This window comes from Homo sapiens, chromosome 12 (assembly GCF_000001405.40).
Source record: "Homo sapiens chromosome 12, GRCh38.p14 Primary Assembly".
Taxonomy (NCBI): domain Eukaryota; kingdom Metazoa; phylum Chordata; class Mammalia; order Primates; family Hominidae; genus Homo; species Homo sapiens.
Window position 1 is genome coordinate 28,535,695 of NC_000012.12, and position 19,106 is coordinate 28,554,800.

A 19,106-nucleotide genomic window follows, 5' to 3' on the forward strand; every position below is an offset into this window, starting at 1 on the left:
TACCAGATTTTATTCTGAACTTTGTTCTCACCTATAAAACATATGTGGGAAACGGGCCTGGTGCGGTATCATGCCTGTAATCCCAGCACTTTGGGAGGCCAAGGTGGGCAGATCATGAGGTCAGGAGATCAAGACCATCCTGGCTAACACGGTGAAACCCCGTCTCTACTAAAAAATACAAAAATTTAGCCGGACATGGTGGTGGGCGCCCATAGTCCCAGCTACTCGGGAGACTGAGGCAGGAGAATGGCATGAACCCGGGAGGCGTAGCTTGCAGTCAGCCGAGATAGCACCACTGCATTCCAGCGTGGGTGACAGGGCAAGACTCCATCTCAAAAAAAAAAAAAAATATATATTGTGGGAAATGGAAAGTTTTATCTATTGAAATAACATTTTAGAATGCAGATAATGGCAAAGGGACCAGTTCTATAGGAAATGTTTACAACAATTTCCTTGTTTGGGATGCCTAAAAATCAAATATAGTAGGCCAGTGTTAGTTGACAAGAAAAGAGAATGACTGAAAAAGAAACAAAAGTTGCAAAAGCTTTTACGCCAGCTCATAGATTCCACAGTTATGACATTAACTTACGAAATTTCTATCTAAAATGCTACCAATTGTGGTTTGTAAATGCCCCTGCAGGTTTTAAATGAAAAGGACAGAAAGATCATTGGCCTATTCTTGCTTTCATTTGTTTAACATCACTGCATTGTCTCATTTTATTGAAAAACCTAGCATTAAACTATAGCATGACCTAGAAATATGTTTCATCATAGAGAAATATAGTATACAATTAGGAGTATGGGATTTTAAATCAGATTTTCTGGATGAAAACCAAGCTTTGTTTTTTATTGGATGTGTACATTTAGACAAGTACTTTAACCTTTCTGGGCCAGTTTGTTCTTCTGTACAATGGAGATAAAATACTGCCTACTTAATTTATGATTATTATGAGAAATAAATGAGTTAGCATGTGTAAATTGCTTAGAACACTGCTTGGGATATAAGAAGTTTACTTTCAGCATTAACTTTTAATGCTTTTATTATCATTGGGACAAATTTTCCTAAATGATGATTTTGATCAGAATGTCTTTGGTTCTACTCATTCTTTTTTAAAGTATTTATTAATTTAAATACCTTTTTGTTCCAGAAGTGATTGTGGCAACTTAAAACAATATGTACTGTTAAAACTGGTGAATAGAAAATGAGCATCAAAATATTGAGACTGAAACTGATATTCAGTATAAATATATATGCCATAAGATCCTGCCAATCAAAATTATTCTGCAGAACCAGCTTGTTCTGGGGAAAACCTACTATCATATTTTATCCATGATATTTATGATTTTAAGTTGATTAGGAACCTTATATTTTTTTCAGGACCTGAGTTAAATTTGTTGTTGTGGCAACATTTCATTGCTGTGGTTTTAAATCCATCCCCATAATATATTTTTAACATTTTTAGGTGCTGTTTTTTTTCTTTTTCACTATTCTAGCTATAACTGCAGATGCTCTACATAGCAGAGAAAGGGGGAAAAAAAGGAGGAGGCACTTGCCAATGCAAGTTAAACAAATTTTCTTTCGTACATATATGTTCAGGTAATAAGCATAGCTTGATCATTACAATTTTTTTACTCTTCATAGACTCTTAAGCTATTATAGGAAATTCTATTCCATTGGTTGTTTTCCAGTCTTCACATTAAAATTTCCAACTTTTCCATAAATTTTAGTGTCATTTATTTAGTATTTTGAGCTTGTTCTCAACTTCTCAAGCTGATCATGTAAAAACTAAAGTTTTGTTTTTGTTGTAACAGATATGCACAGTGTAAAGTTGGTACCTTTATCACTTAGGATTTATATTTGCCTCCTTGTACCATAAACTAGAAATAACAACAGCATAAGCAAGGTCAGAAGTAAACAGTTCAGAGCTAGTACAGAAGCTAAACAAAGTCATAAAAGGATTCAGAAATCATTCTGTCTTTGTACTTTTTCTATTCTTAGCATTGACTTACATCATTAAGGCTACAAAAATGACTGCCAGAGCTCCAGCAAAGATATTTGTGATGACTGGGGGAAGAAAACAAAAATCCAAGGAACAAAAGGGGAAAAGAACAAGTGTCTGTCCCACTTTTAAGGAGCACTGTTGATGATTTCGCCCAATAACTGCCACTCTCATTTCTTGGCTATTTCCAGCTGGGAGGAAGTCTTGGGAATAATGGCCTGCATGTGTGTCCATAATTCCTAAAATTAAATGGGAGCTCTATTGATAAAGAAAAGTACATATTAGAGAGGCAACTGGCAGGTTTTGCTATAATCTCTAATTTCTTATATATTCTTTTTGATAGGTGTTTAGTGTTCTTTTTCTTTTTTTTCTTTTTTTTCTTTTTAGGGGTTTTTTTTAATTTTAGGGTTTTTTTATTTTTAGGGTTTTTTTTTAAGTTTTAGGGTACATGTGCACAACGTGCAGGTTAGTTACATATGTATACATGTGCCATGTTGGTGTGCTACACCCAGTAACTCGTCATTTAACATTATGTATATCTCCTAATGCTATCCCTCCCCCTTCCCCCCCCCCCACAACAGGCCCCGGTGTGTGATGTTCCCCTTCCTGTGTCCAAGTGCTCTCATTGTTCAATTCCCACCTATAAGTGAGAACATGCGCTGTTTGGTTTTCTGTCCTTGCGATAGTTTGCTGAGAATGATGGTTTTCAGCTTCATCCATGTCCCTACAAAGGACATGAACTCATCATTTTTTATGGCTGCATAGTATTCCATGGTATATATGTGCCACATTTTCTTAATCCAGTCTATCATTGTTGGACATTTTGGTTGGTTCCAAGTCTTTGCTATTGTGAATAGTGCCACAATAAACATACATGTGCATGTGTCTTTATAGCAGCATGATTTATAATCGTCTGGGTATATACCCAGTAATGGGATGGCTGGGTCAAATGCTGTTTCTAGTTAAAGATCCCTGAGGAATTGCCACACTGACTTCCACAATGGTTGAACTAGTTTACAGTCCCACCAACAGTGTAAAAGTATTCCTATTTCTCCACATCCTCTCCAGCACCTCTTGTTTCCTGACTTTTTAATGATTGCCATTCTAACTGGTGTGAGATGGTATCTCATTGTGGTTTTGATTTGCATTTCTCTGATGGCCAGTGATGATGAGCATATTTTCATGTGTCTTTTGGCTGCATAAATGTCTTCTTTTGAGAAGCGTCTGTTGACATCCTTCGCCCACTTTTTGATGGGGTTGTTTGTTTTTTTCTTGTAAATTTGTTTGAGTTCTTTGTAGATGCTGGATATTAGCCCTTTGTCAGATGAGTAGGTTGCAAAAATTTTCTCCCATTCTGTAGGTTGCCTGTTCACTCTGATGGTAGTTTCTTTTGCTGTGCAGAAGCTCTTCAGTTGAATAAGATCCCATTTGTCAATTTTGGCTTTTGTTGCCATTGCTTTTGGTGTTTTAGACATGAAGTCCTTGCCATGCCTATGTCCTGAATGGTATTGCCTAGGTTTTCTTCTAGGGTTTTTATGGTTTTAGGTCTAACGTTTAAGTCTTTAATCCATCTTGAATTAATTTTTGTAGAAGGTGTAAGGAAGGGATCCAGTTTCAGCTTTCTACATTTGGCTAGCCAGTTTTCCCAGCACCATTTATTAAATAGGGAATCGTTTCCCCATTTCTTGTTTTTGTCAGGTTTGTCAAAGATCAGATAGTTGTAGATAAGTGGCATTATTTCTGAGGGCTCTGTTCTGTTCCATTGGTCTATATCTCTGTTTTGGTACCAGTACCATGCTGTTTTGGTTACTGTAGCCTTGTAGTATAGTTTGAAGTCAGGTAGCATGATGCCTCCAGCTTTGTTCTTTTGGCTTAGGATAGGTGTTTAGTGTTATTTTTCAACATCTGTTTGAGAAGGTGCTATTGCCATTTTTAGGCAATAACATCCCAGTTTAGCTTTCTTAACTGAAAGAAAATCTCCTTTACTTGTTTACAAGAAGTAGGGATGTTAGGATTTTCTTACATTCTTAGATCCAGGTGGGAGGCAGCAGTGATTTTAAGAGTACCGACAAGGAGGGCGTTTTCCTGCTTGGTTCCCTCAGTAGGATAAATCTGTTTTAAAATGTGCCAGATAGATGGTATTATTTTTGTTTGTTTGTTTAAGACTTCAGTGATTCATCACTGTAAAATCCTGAATGATGAGGAAGAGCAGCTCTTTTTATGTAAAAAGAGAGAAAAAGTCTGTTCACAGTAACTTTCATTTAATTAAGTGGTGCTTTGTTACCTTGGTTTAATTTTGAATACCAGGGGATTAGAATTCCTAGTGGGAATCAGGCAGCTTTCACTTGTGTAGTTAGCCAGTTTTATCAGTAGTGGAAATATGAAAGTAAGCAGGCAAAGATTGTACAAGCCTAGCAGGTAGCACAAGGTGAGATTTGTACCCCACATTGTCTTTATGCGTGTTTCTCCTTTATTGCATCATGAACCTAGAAAGTAGTAAGTAGTCTGTTGTTTTCATACATAGCCACCGAGGTTACAGATTCTTTAAGGCAAGGATTTTTTATATGATGTATTTAATGTGCCAGGCTTTTTTAAATGCTTCTGTTGCATTTTCAGGGAACCATTTGTATATTGCTATAAAGAAATCTGTCTGAATCTACTGTATATTAAGAGAAGATAATTACATGGTTTAATGACTGCATCTACAGGGCTTTTGGCACCTTGACAGGTTTTTGCATTAGTGTAATGCAATGCAAGAAACTCCTGCATATTTACAGCAAAACAGATATTGTGCCAAGGCCTCTAGCCATAACTGAAGTTCTTATCTGAGAAGGCAGCGTAGTATTGTGGTTTAAAGAATAGATTTGGGTGTCATATGCACCTGGATTTCAGTCCTAGCCCTGCTACTTGGGCAAGTCATAACTTCGCTAAGCCTTAGTGGCTTCATTCATACAGTTACCAAGAGAATAAAAATTTGATAATACATTGTAGATGTCTCCAATGGTACTTTGTCCTTATTAATCCCCTGCCTTTGAGTCTCGGCTGGACTGAGTGAGATTGGGCTATTAAAAGATTGTGGCTTCTGTCTTGAGTGCTCTCTCACTCTCATGGTGCACTCTTGCTTTCTTTCATATTCTCTTGGATTGCTTATTTTGGGGGAAACCAGCTGCCATCTCATTAGGCAGCCTTATGGAGAGGCTCACATGGGCTAGATTGGAGCTGGATATTTTGAGGCCTCTCAACAGCTACTGAGTGGGTTTGGAAGCAGATCCTTCCCCAGTTGAACTTTGAGATGACTAGAGTCCTAGCCTACAACTTGATTACAACTTCAGTAAAGAACATGACCCAGAGGCACTCCTGTAACAGTGCCCAGTTTCTTGACCCATAGAAACTGTGAGATGATAAATATTTGTTGCTTTTCATTTTAAGCCACTAGGTTTTGGGATGCTTTGTTGCACACCGATAGATAACTAATACAGCACATAAAGAGGTCACCTGTGCATAGCAGGGAGCAAGTACTACCAATCAACAAGTATTAACAGTTAAAACAAGAAAAGGTCAGACTTAATCTAGCATTATAGGATTATTTGTCATGTAATATAAAGTAAGTTTCCATATGTGTGTGCAAAGAAAAGAATAAGACTTGTGGACAGTCTCTCTTGCTTGTTTCTGTAGATTGAAACACAAAGTGAAATATCAATCATTTGAGAATTTAAAGATAGTATAGGAAGACAAGAACTTAAAGGTCATCTAACTTCTGCTAATATTAGGTTTAAATTGTTAAAGGTCAAAACAAAAGGAAGGATACATAGTAATTGACAGATATTGTTCTTTAGATTGAAACAATAGGATTGCTAAAATCTATAAAAGTTGAATTGATAAAAATACAGCAGAAGTTGTGTTTGTTACTTCAGCAGTAACCTAAATGATATATTTGGGATCCCTATGTTAATTTAATTTAGAAAAGACTATCCAACAGATTGTAATATTTTTATTATATCATGATCTTGAAAAAAAAGATATAGGAAAAGGTTTTTCATTGTTTTGGAGCATGTAATCAAATTAGGTTGAAAAACTTTATGTGGCCTGTTATATTAAGATAAGTTAGCCTGCCTTGCCGGAATCAATTCATCTTATATTTGAGATAAATTGTTTATTTACCATTGAACTCTATAAAGTAGGATGTGGAACATATTTATTAATATGTAAATATAGCCTTATGGATCAGAACCCCAAGATAGGATTTCTGTGCAGCTACTATACAATATTATCCACCTTTGCTTTTCTCTAAAATTCTAAATCTATGGCTTTTGTTTTTTAAGTTGTTTTGGAAATTTTTAGATTTTCTTTGGAAATTGTTGGAAACAGTTGTTACCAGAATTATTTTCTTTTCAAATTCATTAAACTTTACATATGGAAAGTTATAGTAGATTCTGCCCAGATGATTTCTTGAAGAGCAAAAATGAGTATTTCCATTTCCCAGTGGATTATTTGGTAGTTTGGGGTAAAAAGACAGAACTATGCAAATACGATGAACTTACTTTAGATGACTCAAAACAGAGAATTTACTTACCAGGCATCTTTAAAACAAAAGAAAAAAATAGTTCTTTAGTTGTGGTCAAAAGGTTTTAAGACTCTTTATACCCATTTTTCATGCTCTAAAAGAGCATCTGTAATTCATCTTGTGCATGCTGGGAAGTTACACAGCTTCTTTATATGTTGACATTTTTGAACTATCTAAATAGATAGATGTGGAATATACTCTAAAGTCAAGAAGTATTCTCAAAGAATAGGAGACAGGAACTCTGATTTGAAGTCTTCATGGAATGCGAATGATGGCTTTGAATGTTGTGGTGAAGAGGTTAGGCCTAAATTTTCTGACGTTCAAAGTTAAGGCACCCAGCACTGCGTTAGTTCAAACCACTGGCCAGATTATGTTGAATATTTTAGAGTCCAAATTATTCTTAACATGTATTTTATATAAAACTATTATCCTGAAATTGGTTCAGAGTCTCTTTCAGTGATTCTGAGAAGTTCATAGAAAGTGAACATTTTTAATCCTCCATTTCCCAAACTTACTTGACTTAAAGGTATTTTTTTTATTTTTAATAAGCAGGACACATGCTGTACAGAAATGGCATTTTGTGGAACACGTTGTAAGAAACACTACTCTGATATATGAGGACCTTAACAATCTGGAAAATAACTGTTTGTTTCCTAGGGCTACTGTGGCAATTTACAACAAACTGAGGGGCTTGAAACAAGATAAATTTATTTTCTCACAATTCTGTAGGCCAGAAGCCCCAAATCAAGATGTCATCAGGGCCATGCTCTCAAAGGCTCTAAGGAAGTCTGTTCCATGCCTCTGTCTTAGCTTCTAGTGATTCGGCCTCCATCTTCACATAGACTTCTCCTTTGTATCTGTGTCTCTGTTTCTCTTCGTGTAAAGACACTAGTGATTGGATTGAAGCCCTACCCTAATCCAGTAAGAGCCCATCTCAGTTTACATCTTAATTACATCAGCAAAAACCCTATTTCCAAATAAGCTCACATTCACAAGTGTGGGGGTAGGACTTGAACATATCTTTTTGGGGGACACAATTCAACCCATTACAATAATTATCTGTTGAATCGAATATCCCACTGTTCTCTTACAAGATCATGTGCTAGCAAGCTTGTGCAACCCGCCTTATTTTGTTGTTTTTGTTCTGTTTTGTTTTGCTTTAGGTTTTTAGCAGCTTGAAGCCGTGGTTTTTAGTTTCTGTTTCTAGTGATAAGCAGAAAAGAGCGATGGGGAAGGGACTTTACTGGCCCAATCAGAAACAGAAACTAAGAACCCATGACTGTATTCTCTTCCTTGGACATCCCCGAGTGTCCCAGGACTTAGTCCTGTAACCTTTTCTCTTTTATCCACTTTCATTCCCTAAATATTTTTATCTGTGCTTTAAATGCCTTCTATATGGAGATGACGTCCACGTTTTTATTTCAAGGCCTGATATCTCCCCTGAACTGCAGACCCCTATATCTGACATCTCCAACATGTCTGATGAGATTAGACAAATTTATCATGTCTGAAACAAAACAGTTTTCCTCTGGCCAACTCACTCCAGCTCCAGTCTATCATATCTCAGGATAGGACACTATTATTCAAAGAATCGCCTTTTATTTCTCTTTTCCTTTCATCTATACTTCCAATCCATCAGCAACTCAAGTTGGTCCTGTCTTAAAATCCTAAACCTGAACTGTTCTTAAGCCACCATTGCCAATATTCTGGTCAAATTTATATCTTTTCCAGACTGAAAGTCTCCTAGCTGGCTTTTCTTCTTCCACTCTTGTCCCGCTACAGTCTGTTTTCCACGTAATAATTTGTACGATATTTTTCAAACAAAGCATGGTCATACTCCTGCTGAAAACTCTCCAATGTCTTCCCATCAAACTGCAAACCTTTAGGGCCCTTTATGCTCTGGCCTCCATCTACTTCTCTGATCTCCTCCCCTACCAGTCTCCTCCTTGGTAATTTTGCTCCAATCTTAATGGATTTCTTACCAGTTCTCCATCAAACCAAGTCTGCACCCCCCTTTTGGAGTTTTTTCCTTGTGTTTCCAGCTACCTTGAGAATTTCTTTCCCCATGTTTTTAGATAGCTCCCTTCTTGTCTCTTTTCAAGTCTCTTAATTACCACCTTCTCTAAGTGGTCTTCTCTAGTCACTTTACCCATGAGTGGATTTGCTGGATAGCCATCCTAGCTCTTTGGAAAAATGAAGTCATTTTTAAGCATTAATTTAAAATATGTAGGAGTGTAAGTTGGAAAAGTAACATTGATAAAGGTAGATGTAACATGTTCACATTTCTTAGTGTATTTTGTTGGTAGAAGCTCAAAACATTGAAAGTGCAATTAGTACTATGTGTATTTGACACACACACACACATACACATACACACATATATATATTTCAAAACAATGAATTATATCTTTTTGGATGTGAACAGTCTTCTTAATAAACAGTCCAATTAAAATAAGCCAGATGTGTTTGTAATTGACTTTGAATGTTGCACTTTAGACCAATGTAAATTCACCATCATATTGCATTTTAATGACTGGCAAATAAAAAGCTAAGGTCAAGAGATGTTTTATTTTTCTTTTACTTTTGCAATGGCATGAAACACTCATGAAAGGGTAAATCTAATACATGAAATTATTAAGAAGACATGCTATTTCCCCCCACAAGCTTAATAAAATTAAAAATTTTAGTAAGTAGTATGCTTCTAAAAGGCTTTCAGCAGTTATACCAGCAAACTGAAGCCTAGTTGTCTATTTCAGAAACTTCAGAATTTCCAGATTTTTCAGATATGTGTAAGAGCTGAATAGAAATTAAAGCAACAGAAAATGGAAGAGAAAACAAATCGGTTAGAGCTACTCTATTATGAAGAGATTTTTAACCCCATATCAAAAAAATATTTGCCACCACTACTCTGGACATAATATTTTTCATTACTATGTCACAGAATACAAATCTTTGATTCACTTTGAAATGAAAGCCACAAATACAGAACTAAGTCCCATACCTTAAGGAGCAAAAAAGGTGAATATTTTGCCAAAATTCTTCTCGCCTCAATAAAGGATAAGAAGGTCATGCCTAATAAAACAGTAACTGTTGAAATTCAGGAATTTGCCAAGAACATCAGTTTGATGTATTTGTTTCAAAGAGAGGAATTCAACATCCTTATAAGAGAAAGGTTGTATGTGTTCCATCCCACAGCCATGATCTATGTACTATGCCCAAGAAGGACCCACAAAAGTGGAAGCTCAGCTTTGTGATGGCCCAATCTCTGTTTTCCTCCTCATACAGTATCGGTTCGCCTTGTTGCTTCTTAAAGTATTGTGCTCCTGTTTATTTAAAGGATTCTTACTTTCAGAGTGCTCTGGGGAGGGAGTGGTAAAGATGTGAAGTGAGCCTTGGCAGCTGCCTAAAACCAAAACCTTCATGCCTACCATCTTATAGTCAGTAATTCCTTGGTGACATCTAACACAAGCAAGAGAAGCGTGTGGTGTGTTTAAACAGAAATCTATCAAACTTTTTTTGTCCTTATATATATATCCTCTTAAAAAATTACAGAAATACTCCTTTTGAATGCACAAATTCAGATTATTGTTACTTAGCAACAGAGGTTGAATGCTTGTTACACATTGTGAAATTGTACTATATTCCCTCAAAAGGAGAAAAGTTTCTCATTTATCTAGCTTCTAAAAATTCTAAGATATTAAGTCATATTTGTTTTTAATGTATCTCCTGATTGTTCTGGGCGATTTGTGAAGGATTTTGAATTGTTAAAGCTAGCACATATGTTATATGTACACAAGTTATGAAGCATAATAGTAAAACAAACACCCATGAAGCCACCTCCAAACTGAATTACGTATCTCATCCTGCCAGATTCATCCTCCAAATACAACTATCCTCAGTTCAGTTTTTATTGCATTGTTTACTTACCTTAAAAAGAAATGGGTTTTTGCCTACTTATATGTCTCAAAATAATATACCGCTGAGTTCTGCTTATATTTTGTGCCTATGATAAAAGAGTTATGAGACTATCTGTAGTCTGGTCACTTCCTTCTTAAACTCAGTTTTCTTACAAATGCCCACTAATTTATATTCTTCTGAAATATTTTATATTGGCAATATATGTTATATTAAGGTTTATTATAAAGCTGTAGTAATTAAAATAGCATTACATTTGTGTAGAGATAGGTGAATTGTTCAAGGGAACAGGATGGAGAGCCTAAAGACAGGTTCCTGCATATATGGAAAGCTGATTTATAATTGGAGGTAGCATTGCCAACTACATATTCTTTGGCTCATACAATTTCCACAAGCTATACTAGCACGTGTATACAGAGGTCTGTGTTGAAGGATGTTCATTACAGCCTTAATTATAATAGCCAAATATTATGAACAATCTTAATGTCTGTGAATATAATGCTTTAGAATATTAAAATATCTGTTACATATATTATAACTATAAAATGAAAACTATGCAACGGTTTAAAAGGAAAAAAAAACAAGAGACACTGATCCTCTATAACACTGCAGTTGGGACTGATAACTTAGTATACTCTCTGGGAAGAAATTTGGCAATATGTATCACAATTTACAATATGCAGATGTGACAGATTTCAGTACCTTGAACATCTTTTGAAGGGTGTGCACTCAGGTTGTAAATTTTATTGCTTGAAAAACAACAAAAAAGTTAGAATAAACTTACATGTCTGTCAATGGGAAAGTAGCTAAATAAATTATGAAATACAGTTAAGCAATTTTTTAAAATGAGATAGGGAAAACTTCCAGTAATGGCAATGAAATAAAGTGATTGTGTGGACCCTCTCAAACTTAAGAATTATAAGGATTATAAGATGTGGACCACATATTTTTAAAAACCCATCTTTAAATGCTTAAAAACATCCAAAAGTAGACAGAAATCACTGGAGAATGGACTGGAACTGAGTATTGGTATATTCTTCTGTACTGTTTAATTTAGACCAAGTGCAAAATAGTTTTAGAAGCTGAAAATACTTAGATTTCAATCTGTTTTACATATATTAAAATGAAACTTTTAAAACTATGACTTTAATCTCCCATGTATCTTTTAGATTAGGTTAGCATGCTTTGGTTCTTAGCATTAAAAGTACATCTGTCATTTTCCAGTAGATTGCCTTGTTTGATTGGGGTTATGTATCTTGATTCACTCAATCTCAGCAAATATTTATTGCTTGTCTAACATGTGCCAGACCCCCTCTAGATGCTAGGGATAAAGTAGTTAGCAAGACAGACAAGATTTCTGCGTACCTGGGTCTTACATTCTAAGATCTCTTTTGTTTAATAGTCTTATAAGCATAAGGTATGTATTCACCTGAAGGTATCATCCAGTAGAGGAAGAAGGAAAAAAAACTGTGAGGAAAAATGATAAGCAGAAATCTTACTTCTGTATATATAATAGAATCTCCGAATATTGGAATTGAAGGGATTCAGTATAGTTCAATGATTTTACAGGAGCATTTTGCTAAATATAGTGATTCTGTTTGTTTAATTCTTAGAATATTTCAATATTTTAGTCATCCAATTTTTCAGCCATTTTGAGTATAGTAGATTATGGAAGTATACTTTAATGAGAATTATTGTTCAGGTTTGCCTTTGTGGGGGATGCAGGGGCTTGTGAGAAGAATGACAACTTTTACATAAGTATGACAAGTATATTATGAAATGGAATTTATTTGTCTTTTAATTCCTCCATTGTTCTGTAACCTATAGGGAATGTGTTTGCCTAGTTTTGTTATTTTTACCCTATGGGCAAATTTTTTAGGGCCAAAAAGTTTGAAGCTTTTCTTCTTATATTCAATAATGTTTACCATCCAGAGAGTTCTTTATTATATATAATCCAAATGATTTCCCTTACTAACCCTCTTGTTTCGTTTACCATATGAGTTTGCTATTGAAATATTAAAACATCCTAATAAAACATCTCTACCTTAGCCAAGGGACAAGAACAAAAAAAGTTTCAACAGTATCAAATATTTTGTGTGTTGTTTTATTTTTTTAAAACAGAGTCTCACTCTGTCACCCAGGCTGGAGTGCAGTGGCGCAATCTTGGCTCACTGCAACCTCTGTCTCCTGGGTTCAATAAATTCTTTTGCCTCAACCTCCTAAGTAGCTGAGATTACAGGTGTGCACCACCATGCGCAGCTAATTTTTTATATATTTAGTAGAGATGGTGTTTCACCATGTTGGCCAGGCTGGTCGCAAACTCCTGACCTCAAATGATTCGCCCACCTCAGCCTCCCAAAGTGCTGGGATTACAGGTGTGAACCTCTGCACCTGGCCTCAAATGTTTTTTAAAGCATACTTTTCCCCAAAACTTTCTCTAATTTCAGCAAATTGTTTATCTCCTCCCTTATAATTTGTTCCACTAAACCCTGTGTATGATGTGATTATGCTGTGTTTCTGTGCTATGTACTTATTTTGTTACTTGTATCTGTAATATATTTGTGGATGTTTGGTTGCGTATATACACTAAGAACTGGCATTTTAATACTATTTTATGTTTTCTGAAATCATTCTGATCAAATGTATGATATTTCTCTAATAACTGAGTAACAACATCAGTTATAAAACTATAATGATTATCATCTCATCTTAGATGATTTAGGCCAGAAAGAGTGACTTTACTGTCATTCAGTTGAAAGTACTATTTGATTTCCTAAATTGTCTCATCTGGAAAGTTTTTTCTAGTGGGCTTCAGAGACATAATATTCTTTATCCTTCAACTCAGTATTTTTTTTTCTCTTTCTCTCTCTCTTTAAAAAAATTAAACAGCTCGATCAAGTCATCCGCCAAAGAAGCCTGTCCAGTTTGGAACTGTTCCTCTCCTGTGCACAGAAACAGTTAAGTGCTTTAATAGCTACGGAACCAGTTGACATTGAATAAAAAGAACATGACAAACCCACACTGGCATTGGATAAATCATATTACACCTTCAAAATACACACTCTGAATTATAAAGATGTGTTTGTTTTCTTTCCAAATCATGTAGAATTGATTTCCAGTTCAAGGATAAACCAAAACAATATTTAGAACTATCAAGTGATCTAATTTATTTTCTTTTGGTTTCTTCTTTACATTTACTGTTATTTTATTATTATTAGTAGTAGCAGCAACAGAGTATGATATGACCCAAAAGCCATTGTAAAGTGCCACATTACCAAAATTAATTAAGTAAACTTTATAGCCTGTGGGAGTCTATTATATATTATTTTGCAAAAGTAGTAAATATATTATTGTTTCATGATGACTCTTGATGAGATGCTAGAATGTAACCATACATTTATCTTATTTTGAGGATAGAAATAGCATGGATTTCAACATCACTTATTTATCTGTATAATTGGAAATAAAACACCGATATGATAGAGAATCATTCCGGCATTACCTAACCTCTTCTGCAGTTGGATCTATGTATTTTCATTGGTCTACTGAAAACAAACAATACAATTAAAAGCACTAAAGATTATTATATTAATTCAACTTTGATCTGATATATCACTTAAACTAAAGGGGTGTGTGTGGTGTATGCTTGTTTCCTATTTCTGCTCTTTAAAGATACTTTGAATCAATAAAACCATTAGTCTACAAATCAAATTGTGAACTTAATCTCTAGAAAGAGAATATAACTCAGCCATTTATAGGAATTTAGGTTCAAGTACAGGATATATGAAATCTTTTCCCAGTATTTCAGAATGTACTTAATTCACAGGCAGGATGCTTCAATGCAAAATCATGAATATTTTTAATTCAAAACTAAAATGTCATTAATATGTATGTATGCAAATGTTTTATCTTATTTTCTGAAATGCATCTACTTTCATGGGCTTTGTACGTTTCTGAGATTTCTCAGTGTAATAAAAAGAGCTCCCAAACTTATTTGGTTGTTACTTTTTGTTTTTTTTTAAATTTCTTTAAAAAATATATTTTATTTTTTTTTAGAATTTTTCTTTCTCAAGTTGAAATTTTCTATCCTAAGTCGTTTTATCACTCGAATATTTTAAGAACAAGACTAGCCTTCCTTATAGACCTGCTTGGCCTTCTAGCCCTGCTAAATTTTAATTGTAGATCCTTAGACAAGCTGCCTAACTAGTTAGTTAGACAAGCTGCCTAACTAATTTGAGTCTCAGTTTTCTCATTTGTGAGGTAGAAAGAGTGATTTTTATAGGCTATTAAAAAAATAAATCTTGTAAAGTACCCCATATAGTGCTTGCTGGTATAGCCTCCAGTTTATAATAATTTCCCTTTCTCTGGAAATTAATCACAAAATACAGGTGTGAGTACCTACAAACAAGTGGCTAAAGCATAGCATTCTGCCCCTCTAACCTTGACTGACTGACCCACAGGTGAAGACCTGACCCCAAGTGGGCCTCTTATGAAAAGTCTTATGGTGACATCACTTCAGCTTCCTTACCATAGGGAGACAGACATGAACCCCTATTTCTGAGGTTAGAGGTGACCCCAACCCTTTTTTTCCTGAGTCTCAGATTCTGTGAGATACCTGAATATTCTTCCAATATGTTATATTGAATATTCCAATATTCTTCCACTTAACTTTTTTCCCTTAAGCTAGCCAGAGCCAGTTTCTATTATGTGCAACCAAAAAACATTACCCAAAGCAGTCAAGCACAGATCCCAGCAAGTAATCCCTGGATACTTGGCACTTGTTGGCTTCTCATTTCCTCTACCGTACCAATCCGCATCCAAAATGGGAACACTCTTTGATTTATTTTAAGGAATGTTAAAAATATAACTGAACCAAAGCCTCTATTGTCTAACAAAGCCAAGTAAATCACAGATACCCAAAACTATGAACAAACAGTGCCCTATTTAAAAGCTTTCTGTCACTCAGAATCTAGAGTAGAGGTTTAAACTCAGCTTTGCTGAATGCTGACTCACGTTCCATTTCAAAGGAGGCTTACTCAGTGATTGCTTTGAAATCAAAACCAGAACAATGTCCCTATGATTGGTGTTATTCTTCAGTGAGTCAGTTATCTATTATTATAACTTCTTTTTTTTTATCTGACAATTAAACTGAACGGAATCAGGAAATGTTCTCTATATTTAAAAGAGTAATACATCTGAATAATAAAAAATGTATATATAAACCTGGAAAATATTTATAAAACTCCCAAAGAAAAGGAGACTTTGATCAAAGCACTCTGCCTCTAGTCTTCTGTTTACATACTAGTAAACAGCTCTGCCATATCTCCAAAGACTCTGCTAACAAAAAGCAGAAAGCCAATGTGTTCTGAATCCACAGGCTCCTTACTTGTAGGCATCACCATCAGCATCACAGTAAGTGGATGTTATCACTATATATGAGAGCCCACAGTTGTGACTGCTGGGCTCTTTTTTTAAGCCAGGCAAAACTAAAACTGTTCTCTGAATTTAACTGATAAACACATTTTTAGCCCACCCAGTCCCCCATAATCCACAGGCTACTTGCTCACCAATCATTGGTATATATAAGTAGAAGGGAAAGAGCAGGTAGAATTTTCTTTGATCTGGTTTTGTTTTCTTACCCCACCTTACCAAGCATTCATTCTCAACAAGTTGCTCCCCCTTAAATTGTCCCCATTCCTGGGGTCACTATATATTGAACTTTTCCTATGGAGTACTTATATAATTAAATAATGTTTTAATTGTTATTTATAATTAATAATTTGTGTTTTTATTTATGTCTGCCTCCTCCTAAGCAGAGAGACCACATCTGTTTTGTTTGTTATATCAATGCATTTCATAGTGCCTAGCCTGTAGTGAGGACTTAGTGTATAATTGAGTTAATAAATAATTGAATCAATCAATAAAACAATTATTGCACCTGCAATGTAATTAACCAACTAATTCCCAGCTAATAGATTCTGACTACCGCTTTAAAGGATTTAGCTAAAGTTGCTGTGTTTCTGAATGAGATCCTGTAAGAAAATTAACGCTCATAAAACAGTAAAACCTACTTTCTATATAAATCAGTAAAATTTCTGAAAACTCTAAAATGAACTCTGCATTTCCAATGATACTCAAATGACTAAATCACATTGATTGAAATGTGCTACCCAAATTTAGAAGATCCTCTAAATATAAGTAGGGAAGAACATATGGGAAATTATATGTGAAATCATTTCATATGGTGCTGAGTTGGGCCTAGCTACAAGAGTAAACAGCGTCTGCTTGAGAGGGCCATAGAACAGCATTAAACCTACTGGTCCGTCAGTTTGGAGTTGGAACACATAGGGAGCAACAACATTTAGAGGACAGACTGAGTGCATAAAGTTTTGTGATCAAGAGTAGAAGATTCAGAGGGCCCAGTGGAAGTTATGTGTAAAGAGAGGAGAGGTGCTTAAGATTGGGTCAGATCAGGGAATGTCCAGAGCAGTGTATGAGTCCTGGTGATAACGATGCCAAGAATATCTGACAGTATTTTTCAATTCATTTCTGACTCTGAATTGTGATACAGATTGGCCTTGTTGTGAGAAATACACAGAAATCAAGAAACAAACTTATTCAAAAGGTAGGAAAATTTGACTCAGTCCTGGCAAACATTCGGTTCTCAGAAGTCTGGTAGCTGATTTAAAAAGAAAAAAAAAATGAAGCCACAGAATGTACAAATTGCTGACTTCAACACAGCTCAGATACTGAAAATAGATAGTAGAAGATTTCTTGTGACAAGATATATATGTAATGAATTTTGAGTTTTGTCCCTTTTATTGAGGTACTTTTTTCTGAAATTGTTACAACCACTAAACAGCACTACATTTTTTGAAACATTTTTCCTATAGTATTTTTTGGTTTTTTGCCTGATTAGCTGCCAAATGTAAATGTTTAATTCAACTCTACAAAAATGTTTAACACTTAGTGATTCAATTAGTAAGTTTATACCTATGGTCTCAGTGAGCTATTCTTTAAAATTCATTATATGTTATAATTTTATAGGCAAACTAATATGTTTTTATGATTCTTGGCTTTTTATAGATAAAAATAAGCAACAATACATGTTTTTCTTATAATTTTCTCTTTTTTTCTTATAAAGCAGGAAAAAACTTCTATATTCTGTGTCAGTTGGTTGCAGTTATAGAAAATGCAGTAAACTAGGTAGAAATATCAAATAAGATTTTTATAAAACTGGTCTGTATGGTTCCAAGCAATCCAGATAAATAACCAGCTACGGTCATTGAAGAGTAAGATGTATTCACTTCTATGTGAATGAATTCAAAGTGCAACAGTGATTCTACTTAATATAAATCCTTTGATATACTGGCATTTCCGCACAGGAAGAATACTTGTGTTCAGAAATATGTGTTTTATGCCTATTCCTTAGAATTTTAGATGCATATTCTCAATTATACATATTAAATAGTCCACAGAGAAACCTAAACTTCTGTAAAACTCATAACGCAGTGTTATTTAGACCCTAACCTCAAATGTAACAAGGATGGTACCCTCATTATTTTTTTATTCCCTCTTTCTATGTGATTCCATGGCTTTAAATAATCTCCATGTGCTAAAGACCACCACATTTGTAGCTCCAGCCCATTTAAGTGCAGAGTCCTAGATTCAGCTGCCTACTTGATATTTCCACTTAGATGTGGTACTTAACATATCAAAAACAGTATTCTTCATCCTCACTCCACCTCTGCCACCCAAATTCTTTTCTCATGTGTGTCTTTTCTAATATTCCTCATCTCAGTGAATGTCAGCATCATCCCTCCCTGCTTCCCCTCCCCATTCCCTACACCAAACTCAGTCCTGTCAGCTCTACTCAAAATATATCCTGAATCCATCTGTCTTTTTCCATTCATTCTGACCACTACCTACCAAACCAGTCTTTATGATCTCTAGCCTAGACTTTTGAAATGGCCTTCTAAAAGAGTACTTGCTTCCATTCTTGCCCCCAAGTATTCTGTATTATAGCCAATGATCTCCTAAAACCTAAATTTATTGAATCATTGTAAATGTAATGTCTTTATGGTAAAATGTATTCATTGTCTCATTCTGATTCCAGGAACATATACAATATAGTAGGAATAGATGTAAGCCATTTGTTGTGATGTATGTCACTGAGGCAGGGATGCTAACAGAATCAAGTCTGCAGATGATAAAAGTTCAACTGAGTTGAAGAAAGGGAGAAAGTAAATGAATAGTTAAGAGACATGCAAACCTCCATTGATATGTATGTAACCTCTTGGGAGTCAGCTGGCTTCTTTTTCTTCCCCTTTTCTTCTGTATGACTTAAAGTTTGACCTGCCTGCTTCTTTCTACTCTACTGTTAGTTACTCTCAAACTAAAGTTTCTCTCCTTGAAAGTTTACTTGGGAACAGAATTCAGTGTTATAAATATCCACACTCTCGTTCAGTTTTGATTAAGAGTTCCATTTGTGATGGTGAGAAATCTGGGAGTAAAAAAAGGACTCCTTCCTGTTGTCTTTTCCTCTCTGGCCCCTTTACCTTTTGGTGAATCTTTTCATACAGAATTGCATATACTGCAAAAGAATATGCAGCTTCAGGCTATTCTTG

General features: G+C 35.1%; 1 protein-coding gene across 37 annotated transcripts in view; it reads left to right on the forward strand.

Moving 5' to 3' along the window:
* The window catches only part of CCDC91 (coiled-coil domain containing 91), a 359,711-nt gene extending 345,239 nt beyond the window's left edge, over positions 1–14,472 (forward strand). For all 37 annotated transcript variants that reach the window (NM_001352086.2, NM_001352079.2, XM_047429083.1 and 34 more), the window contains one exon: positions 13,369–14,472. In NM_001352086.2, coding sequence (NP_001339015.1) covers positions 13,369–13,479 — 111 coding nt within the window. In that variant the 3' untranslated portion in view covers positions 13,480–14,472. The remainder of the gene's footprint in view (positions 1–13,368) is intronic.
* Positions 14,473–19,106: the final 4,634 nt, after the last annotated feature.